General features: G+C 38.6%; 1 long non-coding RNA gene across 4 annotated transcripts in view; it reads right to left on the reverse strand.

Annotated features, from left to right (window-relative positions):
* The window catches only part of CCDC26 (CCDC26 long non-coding RNA), a 328,546-nt gene that overhangs the window by 36,395 nt on the left and 273,006 nt on the right, over positions 1-19,145 (reverse strand). The window contains exon 2 of one of the 4 annotated variants that reach the window (NR_130919.1): positions 11,443-11,596. The exons of 2 other annotated variants lie outside the window; for them this stretch is intronic. This is a non-coding gene — a long non-coding RNA (CCDC26 long non-coding RNA). Of the gene's footprint in view, positions 1-11,425; positions 11,597-19,145 lie in introns of all 4 variants that reach the window. One more of the 4 variants, NR_130920.1, reaches the window with a different exon arrangement.

Below are 19,145 nucleotides of genomic sequence, written 5' to 3' on the forward strand. Positions count from 1 at the left end.
ACAGTCACATTTATTTCATTTATTAAAGATCTAAAGCAGATATGAAGAAAAACCATTACCAATTCAGTTTTAGATAATGGGTGCAAGATACTTTGTTTTTATTATTCTTCATGATTTTCTGCTTAAAAATATTTTCCAAATAAAAGAATGCATAAGAAAAAAGCAGTCATTCAAGTCTTTTGTTCAATATCACAGCTCCTGCTTTGCTCGGATGCACAATGTTACTCAGATAACTCATTCATTCTTTTTTGCATGCAGCAAATATTCACAGAACATATACCCTGAATCAGGAGCTCTGCCTTGTGCTGTGAGAAGTATCAGATTCAGTCAGACATGCAGATGTGGACCCAGCCCTCAAGAGGCTGAAAGTCAGAAGACTCACACCCCCGTAGCACCACACACAGCAAGCAATGACATTTGCCAAGAGAAATGCTCAGGCCACGTCCTGTGGGCACTCATTGCTGCATCATGAGAGGCCCAAACTTCCGCACCTGGGATGCTAGGCCTGGCATCAAAGATAATGGAAAGACTCTGCATAGGTATGAGCAAGAACATGGTATGAGCAGGGAGGTTCTTTGTTCGTTAAATTTTATTTTTAAGTAGTATATTTGTGAATAAGAGAAAAGAGAGACACAAAGCAGAAAGACAAGCCAGACATGCAGAGCTTTTGAGAAGGGTGGAGTACTGGCTGCCTTGGGGAGGCAGCTGGAGGCTCTGAACACCCATTCCCAATAGCTATTGCCAACTGAGGCAGCTGAGCAGGGGCCCAAACTGGGAGAAATCCCACTTAAAGAAAAAGAAGCCACGGGAAGGGGAGGACACAGCAGTTGCTGGATGGGGACTGAGGTGCGGGGTGTGAGTGATCAGAGCAAGCAGGAGGGTCCATGTGCAGACCCCGGGGCTAAGGCCTGCCTCATGGCAGCTACCATCAAAGCCAGGCTTTGATTGTTAAAAACAATTCACCTTTCGAGAAGAATTTACAGGAGCATGGAAAGCACAGGAACGTGCCAGTAGCTCACTGGGCAATGCCATTTGTACATCTAAATCCTCATTTGTGCAGCCCATTGGCAAAGATTCTGACTCCACGTGCTTTGGCCAAGAGGATTTCTTTCTGAAGCTGATGCAACATGTGCAGAGCCTGGCCATTTGCCCAGCTTTCTTCCTTCTGTAAAGTCTGCTTTTGTTTTTATTGTTAATTTTGTTTTTTAATGTTTCTTTTGTCTTTTCTCAGTCTCCTTGTCTAGAGGCACTATGTGGCCTCTGTCAGTTGCTCTGATATTTCCAGCCAAGTCACAAAAGCACAGATGTAAGAGGAAAATCCAAAAAAATCACTGAAATGAGGTATTTACTCCACAGTAGTCTCCTTTTCAGGGGCTATTCAGAGATGAGAGAATGAGCATGAAAATAATTTATAAATTATAAAGGAATATCCCCCAAAGGTACTATTCTTTTATTAAGTGGCATAAAGGAAAAAATAGAGCATCTCTAAACTCTGAGATATAACCAAGTAAAATCAACATGTAGTGAATGAGATCAGATATCTTCAGAAGCCTATGTTCAACTGAACCATTTCTTCGGGAAAATGCAGAAGGAACAAGACCCTGGCAATCTACTCACACGTCCTCTTAACTGCAAGAAAAACTAAAAGAAAAAAGTCTTAAGTGCAAGAAAATCAGAGATGTGAATGTATCTGAGAAAAAAATACTGAAATAAAAATGGATTTTGTGTGAGAGGAAGCTTGGGAGAGAGAAGACAATGAACATTTACCTCTTCCAACAAGGTGGAATCAGGGGTACTCCCACTTAGTTGGACCATTTTAGGAAAGTTGGGTTCTTGGGGCTGAAATCAAGGTCAGAAAAATTATTAACTAAAATTGTACATCAGATACATAGTCCTAGAGAGAACCAAGGGAAGAGCTGAGAGATCCAAGATCAGTTCAGTGACTAATAGCAAACAAAATATAACTAAATTGGAGGTTGAAAAGCAACAGCCTAGAGGCAGGCAGACTTTGTAAGGTGTGAGATGCCAGAAGTAATTTAGGATTGTCCTATCTTGACTTTCCTTGCCAACTGAATCAGCTCAGTGTAAATACAAGGTCACAAAGCACCAATAGCAGTAATTGAGAGTCTTCAGCTCTGTCTGAAACAAAGTGCCTTTTGATTAGAAGGTTAAGTATAATTTAACCCCCCTTAACAGGTATCACTCCATTTTAAAGAGAGTTTATTCAATGTATGTTCGTTAAGGTACATACATTAAGGAATCCTCAGATTTATTTGCCTGTGGTTTCAGCAAGAAACATGTTCACCAGAGGACTCAAAAATCTTATGCTGTCAAGACATTTTTTTCTTTCTCATTTTAAATTAATAAATGGACATCTTGGTGTTTGCATTGTTCTCAATTGATTTCATTAGCATGGGATGCATGTTACAAATAAGCCGAATTTCCAAATGGGAAAACTCAAGGACCAGCTTCTGAAACAAGGAAATGATCAACATGGGGGTTCAGTCACCTTGTAAGTCAGGACCCTCAGGCAGAAGTTCTATGGATAATTCATAACAAATCAACTAGGATAAGATTTGTCTTCTGGCCATGCATAACCACTGTCGACCTATGTTTCATCTGAATGATCTCAGGCTAGTTTCTTCACCTTTCTATGCTATTCGAATGCATAGAAAATTCAGTTTCTTCAAATGCAACACAGGCTGATAATGCTTACATTTCTTTACAGAGTGCTCAGTAAAGATCTTGCAATATTATAGATGTTTAAAATATTCCAGTTTTCCTTGATTGAATTAAGAGATAACCTGTTAATTTGATGCCCAAACTGCCAAAGAGCAGCAAGATCTCAAAAATGCCACTGACTGTCTGGCTAACCATGCCTCAGATTGGCAGGTGCCATTAAATATTTTAATCAAGTCTTTATGTAAATTTTGACCTAATATAATGCAGCCAAACTTTTATTTTCATTTCATGACATTAACCAATATATCTTAGGGTGATTAAAATATGCAATCTGCTAACTAATTAAGGACTAATTAGTCAACTTGTATATTTATGAATGTTTCCAGTTTTTAAATTGCTGGCCTATGGAGTCCTGGGAAATATTTGTGCCTGTCAACAGATTGAAAAATATCAGAACACTGGATGACAGAGCAGTGATACTAGAGATTGGATGATAATAATCCTTTATGTCTAAATAGCTTGTCAAAGTATACATATAAGGCTGGGCATGGTGGCTCATGCCTGTAACCCCAGCACTTTGGGAGTCCAACGCTGGCAGATCACCTGAGGTCACGAGTTCAAGGACAGCCTGGCCAACATGGTGAAGCCCTGTCTCTACTAAAAATACAAAAAATTAGCTGGGTGTGGTTAGTGCACCTGTAATCCCAACTACTTGGGGGGCTGAGGCAGGAGAATTGCTTGAACCCAGGAGACAGAGGCTGCAGTGAGCCAAGATTGCATGCCATTGCACTCCAGCCTGGGTGACAGAGTGAGACTCCATCTCAAGGAAAAAAATGTATACATGTAGCCTTTCTATCTACATTATCTTATTTGGTTTTCACTATATCTTATGAGATAAGCATATATTGGGAATTTTTTTAACCTGGCATTGGTGCCTGACATATGTATGCTCTCAATAAGTGTTGACTGAAAGAATTAAATGAATGAATACTGAATGCTCAATAAATGTAGGAAAGATGGATGGATGGATGGATGAGTGGATAGGTATAATTTACTCAAGAGTAAAAGGCTATACACTTTGATCTTCTGAGGCTATCTTATCTCCCCGACTTGACTGATCTTGTAGAGACACGTTGAATTTTATAGCCACTGTATATGTCACAATGTGTAACCTTGTGTTTTGTTCTCAATGAACTGGTAATGCCAGTGTTAGTGGATTTGTACACCTACTTCCAAACATAGCAATATCCATAGAATATTGTTACTTATAATATTTTGTTCTCCCTTTTCCTAACACTTCTGGAAATTTGCAACTTCACTTTTATCCAAAATTATATGGTTAATCTTTGATATAATACAATACTAAAATAACAGCTAATATATGAAGTTGGAAACCCTATTTTTTTCCTTGCACTTCTAATTTCCTATGAGTAGATTCTGGCTGTGTGATGATGGTTGAACACGTAAAAAGGAGAAATTATTTTGGTCTTTCTTGATGTTATGGAACTCCTTGAAACATAGGTTACAATTAATTTCTGAGAGATTCTATTCCCCACTGGCATAAAATCCATTACCTTCCTTACTCCACGCCAGATGCCTCAGTGGCTCTCAGACTGTCTTCTTCTTGCTGCAAAACTGGCCTAGGGACAGGCACTCACTTTTTCTTTCTTCATTTGTGTCAGTCACATCATTATTTTTCCTTTTTCCTGGAATTTTTCTGATCTACTGCTTTTCTGCCAAGTGTATGGTTTATTTCACTGACTGCCTTTATCTCTGAAGAATCCAGACTTCTTTCCCTCTAGAGAAATAGTTCTCACTCCTGTCTTCATTATACAAACTCCTACAGAGCTTTTTAAGATGCCAATGCTTGGGGACTTACACCCTGAAATTCCAACTCATTTGGTCCTGAATGGAGCCAGAGGATTCACATTAAACAAAACAGACAGAACTTTCTTAGATTTTTCTAATGGATAGCCAAGGTTAAGAACCATTGCTATAGCATAGAGCATTCTGCAGTGCACAGTCACACATATTTGAAGAGTTGAAGTAATAACAAATGATTGTTCATTTCTGATTGAATAAAAGGAAAGCCATAGGCATAACCCACTGTATCAGTCAGCATTGTAGAAACCATGCGACTATAACAAATAAGCCCCCAAACATCTCAGTGGGTTAGAGCAATAAAGGTTTATTTCTGACCCATGTTATATGCCCATCACAGTGGACTGTCCTCTGATCCTCATTTTCTTCCTTCCAGAACAAAGGCTGAAGGAGCATCCCTTACCTGGGAATTGATGTTCTATGGGTAGAATGAATAAAGGCACAAAAGGATCATGCAATGGTTCTTAAAGCTTCTGCTCAGAACTGGTCTATATGACTTCTTACATTTTATTTTTATTTTATTTTATTTTATTTTCTTGCCCAAAGTAAGGCTAGACCCAGCCGAGAAAATGAGAAAGTACAATATTCTCCAAGAGAACTTCGGACACCAAGGCCATGGCACTGACTTGACTAAGTAAAAGGTATTGAATGAAGGTTTCGTTTTTCAAGAGAAAAGTGATCACTGCACTTTTAAAAGTAAAATCAGAGGGGAAGGTTTAGGAGTAAACTCTGTATCCATCACAGCCTCAAAGAGGCTATGAATAGACACTCAAGTTGTGTTTCATGATGGATTTTGAGGAAGATATCAAGAATATTGAGGTTGTGGTGAGAGATAAATAAGAGGCAGAAGGATAAATGTATTTACTCCCTTTTTCAGCCTTTTAAAAGTTACAAATCCTGAATGATTACCAGTCCATTTAAGGTGTACATCTCTCTATGGATGCTGCTTAAATGCAGCCCCAGAGTTCTGGCAACAGGTAACATATATTCCAGAACCAAACAACATGAAAAAGAAGAGGTCGTCCAAAGGAGTAAAACTTTTGAAAGTTCATCCTAGGAAATGAATGGAGCAAACGTTTGCTGCAAATACATGCCCTTTGAAGGGAGGCAGCTCTCCTATATCCAGAATTCCATCAGGCATGGGCTCTGAGCTTATCACCCAACTGACCAGCTCCTCCTCGATGTCCTTCAGCAAGCCACATACACCTTCAAGCCTCAATTTTCTCTTACAGAAAGCAGTATTTCACCTGCTTTATTGGATTGGTAAAATAATCATAGTAAGTGATAACAATGTGTGTGAAAGTCTAACACAGAAAAAGGTTTCAATGGTAGCAATCGATGGTTGTTGTTTTTATTTTTGTTGTTCACCCTCATAATCCTGAAAGGTAGACAAGGCAGATATTAGATTACAGTTGGCCCCACTTATCTGTGGGGGATACCTCCCAAGACCCCCAGTGGATGCCTAAAGCCATGACAGTACCAAACTTTATATATACTGTTTTTTCTCTATATACACATCTATAATAAAGTCTACTTTATAAATTATTCACAGTAAGAGATTAACAGCAATAACTCTAATAATAAAATAGAGCATTTATAACAATACTCAGAATGATGTGCAATTTAAAACCTAAGAGTTGTTTACTTCTGAAAATTTCCATCTAATATTTTCAGACTACAGGAAGTGAAACTGCAAATGAAGGGGAAGTACTAGATACATATTTTACAAAAGAAGAAACTATAATTTTAAGAAGAAAGTGACTTTCCCAAGGTCACACATCTTGGCACTCTGCAAAAGGAATGAAATGACCCGTCATCATTTTCTGTCCATAGAGTAATTATGGGTTTTTTTTTAATTTTCTTATTTCTGATGCAACTGCAACAAAAACGAAAATTGATAGATGGGACCTAATCAAACTAAAGAGTTTATGCACAGCAAATGAAACTATCAACAGAATAAACAGGCAACCTACAGAACGAGAAAAAATATTTGCAAACTATGCATCTAACAAAGGTCTAATATCTACAATCTATAAGGAATGTAAACAATTCAATGAGAAAAAAACAAATAACTCCATTAAAAAGTGGGCAAAAGACAGAACAGACCCTTTTCAAAAGAAGACACACGTGTGGCCAACAAACATATGAAAAAATGCTCAACATCACGAACCATCAGAGAAATGCAAATCAAAACCATCTCACACCAGTCAGAATAATTATTATTAAAAAGTCAAAAAAAAAAAAACAATCCATGCTGGCAAGGCTACGGAGAAAAGGAAACACACGCTTTTGGTGGGAATGTAAATTAGCTCAGCCACTGTGGAAACAGTTTGAAGATGTCTCAAAGAACTTCAGACAGAACTATCAATTGATCCAGAAATCCCATTACTGGGCATATAGCCAAAAGAAAAGAAATCATTTTACCGAAAAGACACAGGCACTCACATGTTTATTGCAACATGATTCACAATAGGAAAGCTATGGAATCAACCTATGTGCCCATCCATGGTGGATTGAATAAAGAAAATATGGGCCGGGTGCAGTGGCTCAGGCCTGTAATCCCAGTACTTTGGGAGGCCGAGGCGGGCAGATCACGAGATCAGGAGATGCATCACACAATACACCCTCGTAACAACCTGCACATGTACCCCTTGAATCTAAAATAAAAGTTGAAATTATAAAAAATAAAATAAAAACAAATTTAAAATAATTTCTTAATTTTGAAAAGTGCTGACAATATGATATTCAGTGGAACAAAAGCAAAGAACTACATATACATTAAAATCTTTACATTTATGCAAAATAAACCCATTTCTCTCTAATTATATTTGTCTGTCTAATGAGTGCAGTAATTCTTTTAAAGCAGTTAACGCAATCCCTAGCACATTAAAAACACTAAGTAAATCAGCTACTACCCTTATCAGTGTTATTGTTACTAGCTATGCATACAAAAAGATAAAAAAGAAATATGTCAACAGGTTAAAAATGCTTATTTCTCAATCGAGAAATTAGCAGTAATTATATTTTATGGTTTTCAATATTTTCCAACATTGCCATGATGTGTATGTCTTTTAGAATAAAAACAGAAATATATATTTGTTTGTCACACATAATTTGCTGAATTTGTTATATAAAACACAGAATGAACATAGATTAAATGAAAGATAAATATTTCATATTGAGGTAAGACAGAACTTTCTATCAGTGAGGTAGGTCCAGAAAGGAAAGAAATCGCTAAGAAGACAGTGAGCTACCCATCCTTAAAAATGAGCATTGAAAAACTGCTCTTGAAAAAATACTCTTGGGTATTATGCTGGTTATCTGGATGACAAAATTATCTGTACACCAAAACGCTATGATATGCAATTTACTCATGTAACAAACCTGCACATGTACCCCTTGAACTTAAAAGTTGGAAAGTAAATATATATATATTATATATATAATATAATATATAATAAGTGTAATAAAATATATATTTTTTTTTAAGAAAGAGAGCGAGAGGGAGGGAGGGAGGGAAAAAATGAGCCAGCAGTTACATGGCTACAGGCAAGGAATTTACAGAAGAAAACTTAAGCTGGAGAGCCCTGGGACTTCGTGATCCTACAAATTATATTTAAACATCATAATTTTACGCTTCAGATTAGGGCAATTTCATATTTTGGGGGCCTTGAGCAAACAAAATGAGACACTACGTTTAAAAAAGAAGTTTTAAGACAGAGACAACAGAAGGTTAAACCAGCTCAGAACACTTCTGAGAGCAGTGCCCTGCAATACCACACAGGTCCCATTCCCAAACATTGGCCTTGCCTCAGAGTCTTGTTTATTCAAGATGGCTTGGACAAATCAATTGGCTCCTAAAGGCTGATTTAGAGGGACAATTCAGCAATTCAGGAGGACAAAGAATCTAAAGCATTCCTGGCCTTCAAAAACCCCTTTGGATGATCTCTTTTGCATTAAAAGGTAAATCAAAAAAGTTATATTCCTGAGGGGGACTTCAGGTTAAAAATGATCAATAGACTACAAACATCCCTCATTTCTCACAAAACCCAGACAAAATGAAAGCAAAGGAACACAAGACAAATTGATCAAGAAAGGAATCAACAATATATCAGCAATTTCAGCTAAGATCTGGAAAAAGTGAAGGTGAGTAGAGGAGTCAGATACTATCTGACTCCGCAGATTAGAGAAAGTTACAACTTAACTGCATATAGACAGAAATACTACCAATAAGTGGGCCAGTTTGGCCTGTAAAATTCCTGGCTCAACATTTGCAAGCATCAGGAATGATAAAAGCCCTGGGTTTTTTAGTTCTATTCTAAATACAGGAAAACTGGAGGAAAGAGTGAATATAGTGTGGTAGAACCTTCAGGATCCCCCACCTTATGCTAAGGAAGACCAGAGGCTGATAACCGAACCAAAGAGGATCACTCTGGACTCCAGACCATCAGGCAAAACTAGGGCTGGGTAAGATTATTTAAATAGAGAATTAACTGAAAGTCTAAATACTGACCTCTGGTACTCTAATAGACTATCTGGAAAAAGATCATAGAATATATTGGTTCCTTGAAACAGGAACAGCTTGCCACTAAAAAGAAAACACTCAGAGAAAAATACAGAGCTCTTCAAAATTAATATCTAGTCATAATAAATAATTCAGGTCTTGGGGACCTGGGAATCGACCTGCCCCATTCACCACTGACAGTGCTTGCACATGCCCTCTGGGGACCTGAGGATAGATCCACCCCAACCACTGCCACCACCGCCTCCATTAGCATTCACACATGTCACCTGGGGTCCTGGGGACTCACCCTACCACTGCTAGCACCCACACATGCCTTCCAGGAACTGCAGGACAGGCCTGTTCTGCCCATGGCTACCACCTGCATGTGCTGTCCTACAGCCTAGAGATAGGTCCACCATGCCTGCTGCCACTGGCACATGCACATGCCATCCAGGGGCACAAGAACATACCTACTCTGCCCAACACTGGCACCCACATGCATCTTCTGGGAGGCCCTGAAACTGATCTTTCCAGCCCACCACCACCACCTGTGACTCAGACCCAAAGGTTGTCCTGCAGCCATTATTTCCACTGCCAACACTACACAGGCTGCCTGGGGGCCCAAGTACCTGCATGCCCAGCCTGCTGCTGGCACCCCACCATGCTGCCAGGAGGCCCAAGGGCTGGCCCATCCAGACCCACCACTGGCTCCCAAGTATGATGCCCAAGGACTCAAGGACCAGAAGGCTGGCCCTCTACCAACACCATTGGTGCCCGAGGACCATCCATCTGGTGTCCTCTTCCCCAGAAAAGACTCACCATAGCCTCCATTTACAACTGCAGCCTAAGCCACTGAGAAACTTACAGACACCACTGAAACTGATTACAGTGAATAAATCATACAGAGATGATACTACTGTGCCCACCCAGAATCAAAGCCAAAGCATCCTACCCCACCAATAATATAGATACATCTACAGGAAAAAGTCCCTACAAAAACCAATCCATAAAACTGGAAGAAGTAACTTTTACACTAAATGCACAGATATGAATGTAGGACACAAGAATCACTAAAAAAAAGAAGAGATGATGACTCCAAAGGGATAAAATAATTCTCCAGTAACAGATCCCAAAGGAAAAAAAAATGAAATGCCTAAAAAATAATTCAAAATAATTATGTTAAAGAAACTCAATGAGATGCAGGAGTACACAGGTAAACACAAGCAAGAAAAGAAAGATGTGGGATCCACAAAACAGGAGATCCCACATAAGTTGAAAGTGTAGAGAAATCTTAGGAAGATATCTCTGTAGCTAGCCTAAGAAGAAATAATCCAAATTCTACTGCGAAACAAGGGGCTTAGGGAGAGCGGTCTTGAAAATTTTTTTTAATTGATGTTTTGAGCTTATAAGTAGGCCTGTAGTACAGATGTTCTGGCCTTCAGAAAAGAAGTGTGTATATACACACACACACACACACATATAAATACACACACATATATACAAATGCATATATATAGTATATATATGTATATACACACATATATACATATATGATACATTATATATCATATGTGTATCATACTGGGACCAAAGGAAAACCAAGGCAATGTGGGAAGATGATACAGGATTAGAGAGAGTCAGTGACCAGGGAAGAATAAAAGGTTATACATAAGAATAAAAGGTTATGCGTACGGAGATAAGTTTATTGCGCACTTCTGCTTTAGCAGCAAAACCATTCGCATACTTACAATAGGAGAAAACACATGTTAGTATGATATGGGAAAGATAGATTGTGGAAGGGGATGAAAGATCTGAGTCCTCAACTATCAGAAAGTAATCTGTGGCACAAGAGATAATTATTTAAAATGTTTAATTATATTTGACCTCTATTACATCTATGCATTATTTTGATTAAAATTAAAATTGAGACATTAAGATATGAAAAATAACACAAAAGTCATTCTAATACTTGCAGCATGCTAACTTCTATAACAAACAATCTCTCAATTTTTGTTGTTTCAACACAGTGAAAGTTTATTTCTCATTCAAGTCACAGTCCCATGTAGTTTGGCTAGTGCTCTGCAATCTCCAGTTACTCAATGTATTAGTCTGTTCTCACGCTGCTAATAAAGACATACCCAAGACTAGATAATTTATAAAGAAAAAGAGGTTTAATGGACTCACAGTTCCACATGGCCAGGGAGGCCTTACAATCATGGCAGAAGGTGAAGAAGGAGCAAAGGCATGTCTTACATTGTGGCAAGCAAGAGAATGTGTGCAGGGAAATTGCCCCTTATAAAGCCATCAGATCTCATGAGACTTATTTACCATCATGAAAACAGCATGGGAAAAACCCACCTCCATAATTCAATTACCTTCCACAGGGTCCCTCCACAACATGTGGGGATTATGGGAGCTACAATTCAAGACGAGATTTGGGTGGGGACACAGCCACACCCTATCACCTAGGAACCCAGGCTTGTCTCATCTCTTGGCTCCTTGATCTCTAAGACATGATTTCCAAGTTTGCTGCAAAATAGAAAGGGAGAAAAAAGGATCACTCAGGGAAATAATGACCAGAGTGGAAGTGGTTGACTTTACGTCTCAAATTCCATAGGTCAGAACACATTATATGATCCTAATCTACTTCAATGAGGCTGGGGTCTGCCATCTTGCTTTGTGCTCAGGTTTGGTGAGCATTTCCTACTGTCTTTTTACATAGGCATTAAAAAAAAAAAAACTAATCAAAAAGCTTATCCACCATGATCAAGTTGGCTTCATCCTCAGGAATGGAAGGTTGATTCAACAAACACAAATCAATAAATGTGATTCATCACATAAACAGAACTAAAGACAAAAACCACATGATTATTTCAATAAATGCAGAAAAGGCCCTCAATAAAATTCAATATTCCTTCATGTTTAAAACTCTTAATAAACTAGGTATTAAAGGAACATACCTCAAAATAATAAGAGCCATATACAACAAACACATAGCCAATATCAAACTGAATAGGCAAAATGTGGAAGCATGCCTCTTAAAAACTGGCACAAGATAAGGATGCCCTCTCTCATCACTCCTATTCAACATAGTCTTGGAAGTCCTGGCCAGGGCAATCAAGCAAGAGGAAAAAATAAAGATATTCAAATAGGAAAAGAGGAAGTCAAATTATCTTTGTTTGCAGATGACATGATTCAATATCTAGAAACTCTCATCATCTCAATCCAAAAGTGTATTAAGCTAATAAGCAACTTCAGCAAAGTCTCAGGATATAAAATCCATGTGCAAAAATCACTAGCGTTCCTATACACCAACAATAGGCAACCAGAGAGCCAAATCATGAATGAACTCCCATTCAAAACTGCTACAAAAAGAATAAAATACCCCTAGGAATACAGCTAACAAGGGAAGTTGAGAACCTCTTCAAGGAGAACTACGAACCACTGCTCAGAGAAATCAGAGAGCATACAAACAACTGGAGAAACATTCCATGGTCATGGATAGGAAGAATCAATATTGTGAAAATGGCCATACTGCCCAAATTAATGTATAGATTCAATGCTATTCTCATTAAACTACCATTGAAATTCTTCACAGAATTAGAAAAAAACTATTTTAAAATTCATATGGAACCAAAAAAGAGCCTAAATAGCCAAGTCAATCTTAAGCAAGAAGAACAAAGCTGGAGGCATCAGGCTACCCCAATTCAAATAATACTACAAGTCTATGGTAATCAAACCAGCATGGTACTTGCACAAAAACAGACACATAGACCAATGCAACAGAATAGAGAATTCAGAAATAAGGCCACACACCTACAGCCATCTGATCTTCAATAAACCTGACAAAAACAAGCAATGGGGAAAGGATTTCCTATTTAATGAATGGTGCTGGGAGAACTGGCTAGCCATATGCAGAAAATTAAAACTGGAACATTTCCTTACACCATATACAAAAATTAATTCAAGAAGGATTAAAGACTTAAATGTAAAACCCAAAACTATAAAAACCCTAAAATAAAATCTAGGCAATGCTATTCAGGACATAGGCATGGGCAAAGATCTCATTACAAAAACACCAAAAGCAATTGCAACAAAAGCAAAAATTAACAAATGGGATCTAATTAAACTAAAGAACTTCTGCACAGCAAAAGAAATGATTATCAGAGTGAACAGACAACAACCTACAGAATACAAGAAAAATTTTGCAATCTATTTATCTGACAAAGGTCTAATATCCAGAATCTACAAGGAACTTAAACAAATTTACAAGAAAAAATACAACCCTATTAAAAAGTGGGCAAAGGACATGAACAGACACTTCTCAAAAGCAGACATACTTGCAGCCAACAAACATATGAAAGAAAGCTCAACATTACTCATCATTAGATAAATGCAAATCAAAACCACAAAAAGATACCATCTCATGCCAATCAGAATGGCTATTATTAAAAAGTTAAAAAAAAAAAAAACAGATGCTGGCAAGGTTGTGGAGAAAAAGGAAGGCTTTTACAATGTTGATGGGAATGTAAATTAGTTCAACCATTGTGGAAGACAGTGTGGTGATTCCTCAAAGACCTAGAGGCAGAAATACCATTTGACCAGGCAATCCCATTACTGGGTATATACCCAAAGGAATATAAATCATTCTATTATAAAGATACATGCACGTGTATGTTCATTGCAGCACTATTTACAAGCAAAGTCATGGAATCAACCTAAATGCCCATCAATGATAGATTGGATAAAGGAAATGTGGTACATATACACCATGGAAAACTATGCAGCAGTAAAATGGAACAAGATCATGTCCTTTGCAGGGACAGGGATGGAATTGGAAACCATTATATTCAGCAAACTAACGCAGGGACAGAAAACCAAACACCCACATGTTTGATCAATGAGAACACATGGACACATGGTGGGGAACAACACACACTGGGAACCTGTGAGGGGCTGGTGGGGAGGAAGAGCATCAGCAAAAATAGCTAATGGATGTTGGGCTTAATACCTGGGTAATGGGATGATCTGTGCAGTAAACCACCATGGCACACATTTACCTGTGTAACAAACCTGCACATCCTGCACATGTGCCCCTGAAATTAAAAGTTGAAAAAATTAAAAATAAATAAACTAAAATTATGTCAAGCAATGCTCTAAGGCAGGGTTTATGAACCATGAGTTGATTTTGCCCTCCAGGGACATTTGGCCATATCTAGTCACAATTTTGATTGTCACAACTTGGAAGATACTACTGACATCTAACAGGTACCCTCTTCTACAACAAAAAATCACTTGGCACAAAATATCAAAAATGCCAAGGCTGAGAGACCCTGCCCTAAATCCCCTATTCTCTGAGATTTCTGACACAAAGAGAATAGAGTATAACAAGTTCTAATCTAACAGTCAGAAGTTCTTGGTTCTCATTTCAGCTCTTCTGTGTGGCTTTGTCCAGGTCATCAATGCTATCCGAAACTCAGTTTCCTCCTTAATAATATAGGGATAGTAAAAGTTATCCAGTTTTCCTAATGATTCCTGGAAGGGTCAGCTGAAGGCTATTTAAAAGGTCAAGAGTTCATTAATGCTATAGTTTTAGAAGTCACACTTCCAAAGAAAAATATGCCTTTGATGAAATGGTTATCAACAATTATTATTCAGTGTTGTTACTAAAGAATAGATTTCTGGCTGGGCGCTGTGGCTCACGTCTGTAATCCCAGCACTTTGGGAGGCTTGAAGTGGGTGGATCACCTGAGGTCGGGAGTTCGAGACCAGCCTGACCAATATGGAGAAACCCCATCTCTACTAAAAATACAAAAATTAGCCAGGTGTGGTGGCACATGCCTGTAATCCCAGCTACTCAGGAGGCTGAGGCAGGAGAATCACTTGAACCTGGGAGGCAGAGGTTGCAGTGAGCCGAGATCTTGCCATTGCACTCCAGCCTGGGCAACAAGAGCGAAACTTCGTTTCAATGAGTAAATAAAAGATTCAATGGTAAATAAACAGAGAGAAAATTAGTTCCAGCTAATGTACAACATGATTACTATACCCAGATTTTTGGGGGCAGGCTCATGACTTATGGCAATCCTATGTGTCACTCATATGTTCTTAAAATTACAATAATTCAATTTACAAGCTAAATCTCCAATGGCCTTTTTATCAGACATGCCCTAGAAGTCTTTGGTCACACCCTGAGTCTCAACTTTTAGTTCAAATCAGGAATGATCATAGATACAAGTAAAATATGCCTGCCCTCAATTTTTATTCTACCCTGGTCTCAACTGGAGTAACTGGCCCAGAGTTAGTGTTTAATATGTGTTGGCTGGCAAGCTGAAAGAATATAGAAAGAAACACACACACATGCTACCATTTATCTCAGCCAGGCTGTGGTATCGCTGAGAGTAACCCATGTCCTCTTTTTGTATTTTCAAAGAATAGCACATAAATATTACTAAAATAAAATATGCTGGATTAACATTAAAATTACTAAAAATTAATTTATTGAGTAAAATTTATGCTAAGCATAGTTTATGATAAATATAGGAAGGTTATTTGTGAGAGAATTTTATGAGAAACATGGAAGTTGCAGACTTCCTCCAGGCTAAGAAACATGTTAGACAATTATTTAAACACTTCAAGCACTAAAGATGACAATGCATAGGCAAATACAAAATTTATCGCCATCAAGTCTTTGTTCAAAGGGGGTAAATACCACTGTGGCTCTCATAAAGGGATTTAATCAGAGCTGTCTGTGGTCATCCAGAAAGTTCCATGGAAGAGGTGGAACTTGACCTAGGACTTACGAGATTTGGAGAGGCCGTAGACAGGAGGGGGACTTAGCCAAGCAAGGTCTGAAATTTTTTTTTTTTTTTTTTTTTTTTTTTGAGACAGAGTCTCACTCTGTTGCCAGGCTGGAGTGCAGTGGCGTGATCTCGGCTCACTGCAACCTCCACCTCCTGGGTTCAAACAATTCTCTTTTGCCTCAGCCTCCCAAGTAGCCGGGATTACAAGCACCCGCCACCACACCTGACTAATTTTTGTATTTTTAGTAGAGATGGGGGTTTCTCCATGGTGGTGGCAGGCTGGTCTTGAACTCCCAACCGCAGGTGATCCACCCGCCTCTGCCTCCCAAAGTCCTGGGATTACAGGTGTGAGTCACCGCGACAGGGCAATTTTTGTATTTTTAGTAGAGGTGGGGTTTTACTGCGTTGGCCAGGATGGTCTCAATCTCTTGACCTTGTGATCTGCCCACCTTGGCCTCCCAAAGTGCTGGGATTACAGGCCTGAGCCACCATGCCTGGCCTCATTCTATTTTTTAATAAAATCTTTCAAACACAGAGAAAAAGCTTAAAGAAAAATAATAAACTCTTATATTCTTACAGATAGAGAACACTTTAACATTTTCCTATACTTGCTTCAGAATGGTAGTATGTTTAAGAACTAAAACATTATCAATACATTTGAAACCATGTCTCTCCCAACACCAGCCAATAATCCTTTCTACTTTTCCCAGTTAGTGTCTTGTGAAGTTAGTGTCCACCTTGAAGTCTGTGTTTGTATACTTTTACAATATTTGTGAGTATTCATTTAAAAATAAATAGAACTGTTGAGTTGAAAAAATAATTAATGGGATAATAATGATTTGTCCTTCTACAATTTGTATTGTTTCCTCAACGTTATGTTTCCCAGATTTTCCATATTGATATATATCTTTCCAATTCAACCATTTTTAGAGCTTTGTGGTATTTATGCCACAAATACACTAAAATTGCTTTATTCATTCTCCTAATAATGAGCATTAAGGCTGTTTCTAAGTTTTGTTAGTTAGCCTGTTTGCTTCACTTTAAAAAGTAATGTGAAGTACGAGAAAAATTCTCGTATATGTGTGACAAATACGTGTGGCAAATTCTTGGAAATATAATTGATGAATTGTAAAATATGCATATTCTGAAACTTAGCAGATATTGAGAAATGACTCTCCAAAATGGTGGAACCAAATAGCATCCCCACCAGTGAGTATGAAGTGTTTATGTTGCTTCATGTTTTTGCCAATGCTAATATTATTGGATGCTTTCATTTTGCCTGTGGAATGGATTCAAATATCATTTTTTCCTACCAAGATTAAAGATTGCTTATGTATGTGTTGGCCATTCCAGTTTCCTCCTCTGTGAACCAATGGACCACATCCTCCTTTTTTTACTGGCTTTTCCTTTCTTGTAGTTCTCTATATTGGACATAAATCTTTTATTATTTGCATGGTAAATAATTTTACAGAATTTGTGGCCTGCCTTTTTACTTTTTTAAAGTACCCTTTATTTACGTAGAATGTTTTAACTTTATTTTACAGTAACTTTTACACAGGCAAAATGAATCTAGTACAAAATGAAACAGTTGCTAGAGAAGAGGGTGGAAGGAGAGGGGAACTAGCAATCTTTGAGTAGCTGCCTTATGGCAGACACTTTACAAGCTGTCTCTGTCAAGTTCCCTAGAAGCAGAACCTGAGATGGGAATTCCAACTGATGTGGAAAGTGCTATCAGAAAATGTCAAGGGGAAAAGTCAGGCAAAGAGGTGTGTTCAGGGGAGGTATCACCTCAGCCTGACCTGATGGGAAGCTTTGAAGTAGGAATGACATCACAGAGTCGTCCCACCTAAAAGCAAGAGACTTGGCATTGTAGTAGTCCATTTTTGTGCTGCTGATAAAGACATACCCAAGACTGGGTAATTTATAAAGAAAAGAAAAAGAGGTTTAATGGACTCACAGTACCACGTGGCTGGCGAGGCCTCACAATCATGGTGGAAGGCAAAAGGCACATCTTACATGGCAGCAGGCAAGAGAGAATGAGAGCAAAGCAAAAAGGGAAACTCTTTATAAAATCATCGGATTTCATGAGCCTTATTCACTACCACGAGAACAGTATGGGGGAAACTGCCCCCGTGAGTCAATTATCTCCCACAACACCTGGGAATTATGGGAGCTACAATTCAGGATGAGATTTGGGTGGGGACACAGCCAAACCATATCAGGCATTTTGAACCCCCAAATCAGTTAGTTATTAGTTACAAGCTCCTGTAAACCTCCAAACCCAGGAAGAGTGAATTACATTTCGGAAATTTCCAGACAAGGTGGTTCACCTTAACAGAGTGCAGAGGTGTGTTCCTGTGAGCTGCTAGCAACCAGAAGTTATAAGAATTGCAGATGGGCACCTGCCCCTCCCCTAAAGGGGAGTTGGGCAGGGCACCAAGCAGCATCTATTACATAGGAGTTAAATTGGTTAATCTGACTACACCCTTAGAGCATAGGTAATATCATCTCTATTTATATGTAAGCAAAGGAAGATTCAGACATGCTGATAGACTTACTCAAAGACCACAGCTAATTATCAGAGAAACCCAAAATTCAAACCTAGCTTTTTCTGACTCCACAACTTGTGTTCTATATAATTTGTCATGGCAGCTTCTCTATGAAAGTTCCTGCTTGGCACCTTCACCAGTTAATAACAGATTAAGCCAGGGAAGCTTCCTATCTGCCCAGTGGTGGCTGTGGTTGCCTTCATTTGTTACCAAGAGAGGACAGAGTGAACAGATTGCCTGAGCCAGGTGGGTGGAAAGTGCTCCCTCAGGCACACCTTATTTGAGCACCTCATTAGCACCATAGAGAACATTCTTCTGGAAAATGGCAAAAAAATGCATATATATATCACCTCCCTGCACACAGTTGAGGTACCTAAAGGAATCCAGGATCACTTTAGGAAACTACATTGTGGAAAAGATAAATCAGTTTCGTGTCTTGATGTTAGAGAAAACTTCTCATTTCATATGTGACTCTTTTTCTAGTATCAGAAAAAGATGGCTGTGGAGAAATGGCACTAGCCCTCCTTATAAATTAAAGGTCAATAGACCTGAGGTTTTAACCCTGTCACCTTGCTGCAAATCGAAATTGTCACGGAACTTTGAGCACGTATCATTACAGGGAAGGTCTGTACGGTTCAGTGAGAAGCTGTTCATCTTTGTGCTTAATGTTATGAAGTTTCAAAGATGCCTCCCCATCCATCCCACTACTAATTCCACTCTCTGCTCTGC

This window comes from Homo sapiens, chromosome 8 (genome assembly GCF_000001405.40).
Source record: "Homo sapiens chromosome 8, GRCh38.p14 Primary Assembly".
NCBI lineage: Eukaryota > Metazoa > Chordata > Mammalia > Primates > Hominidae > Homo > Homo sapiens.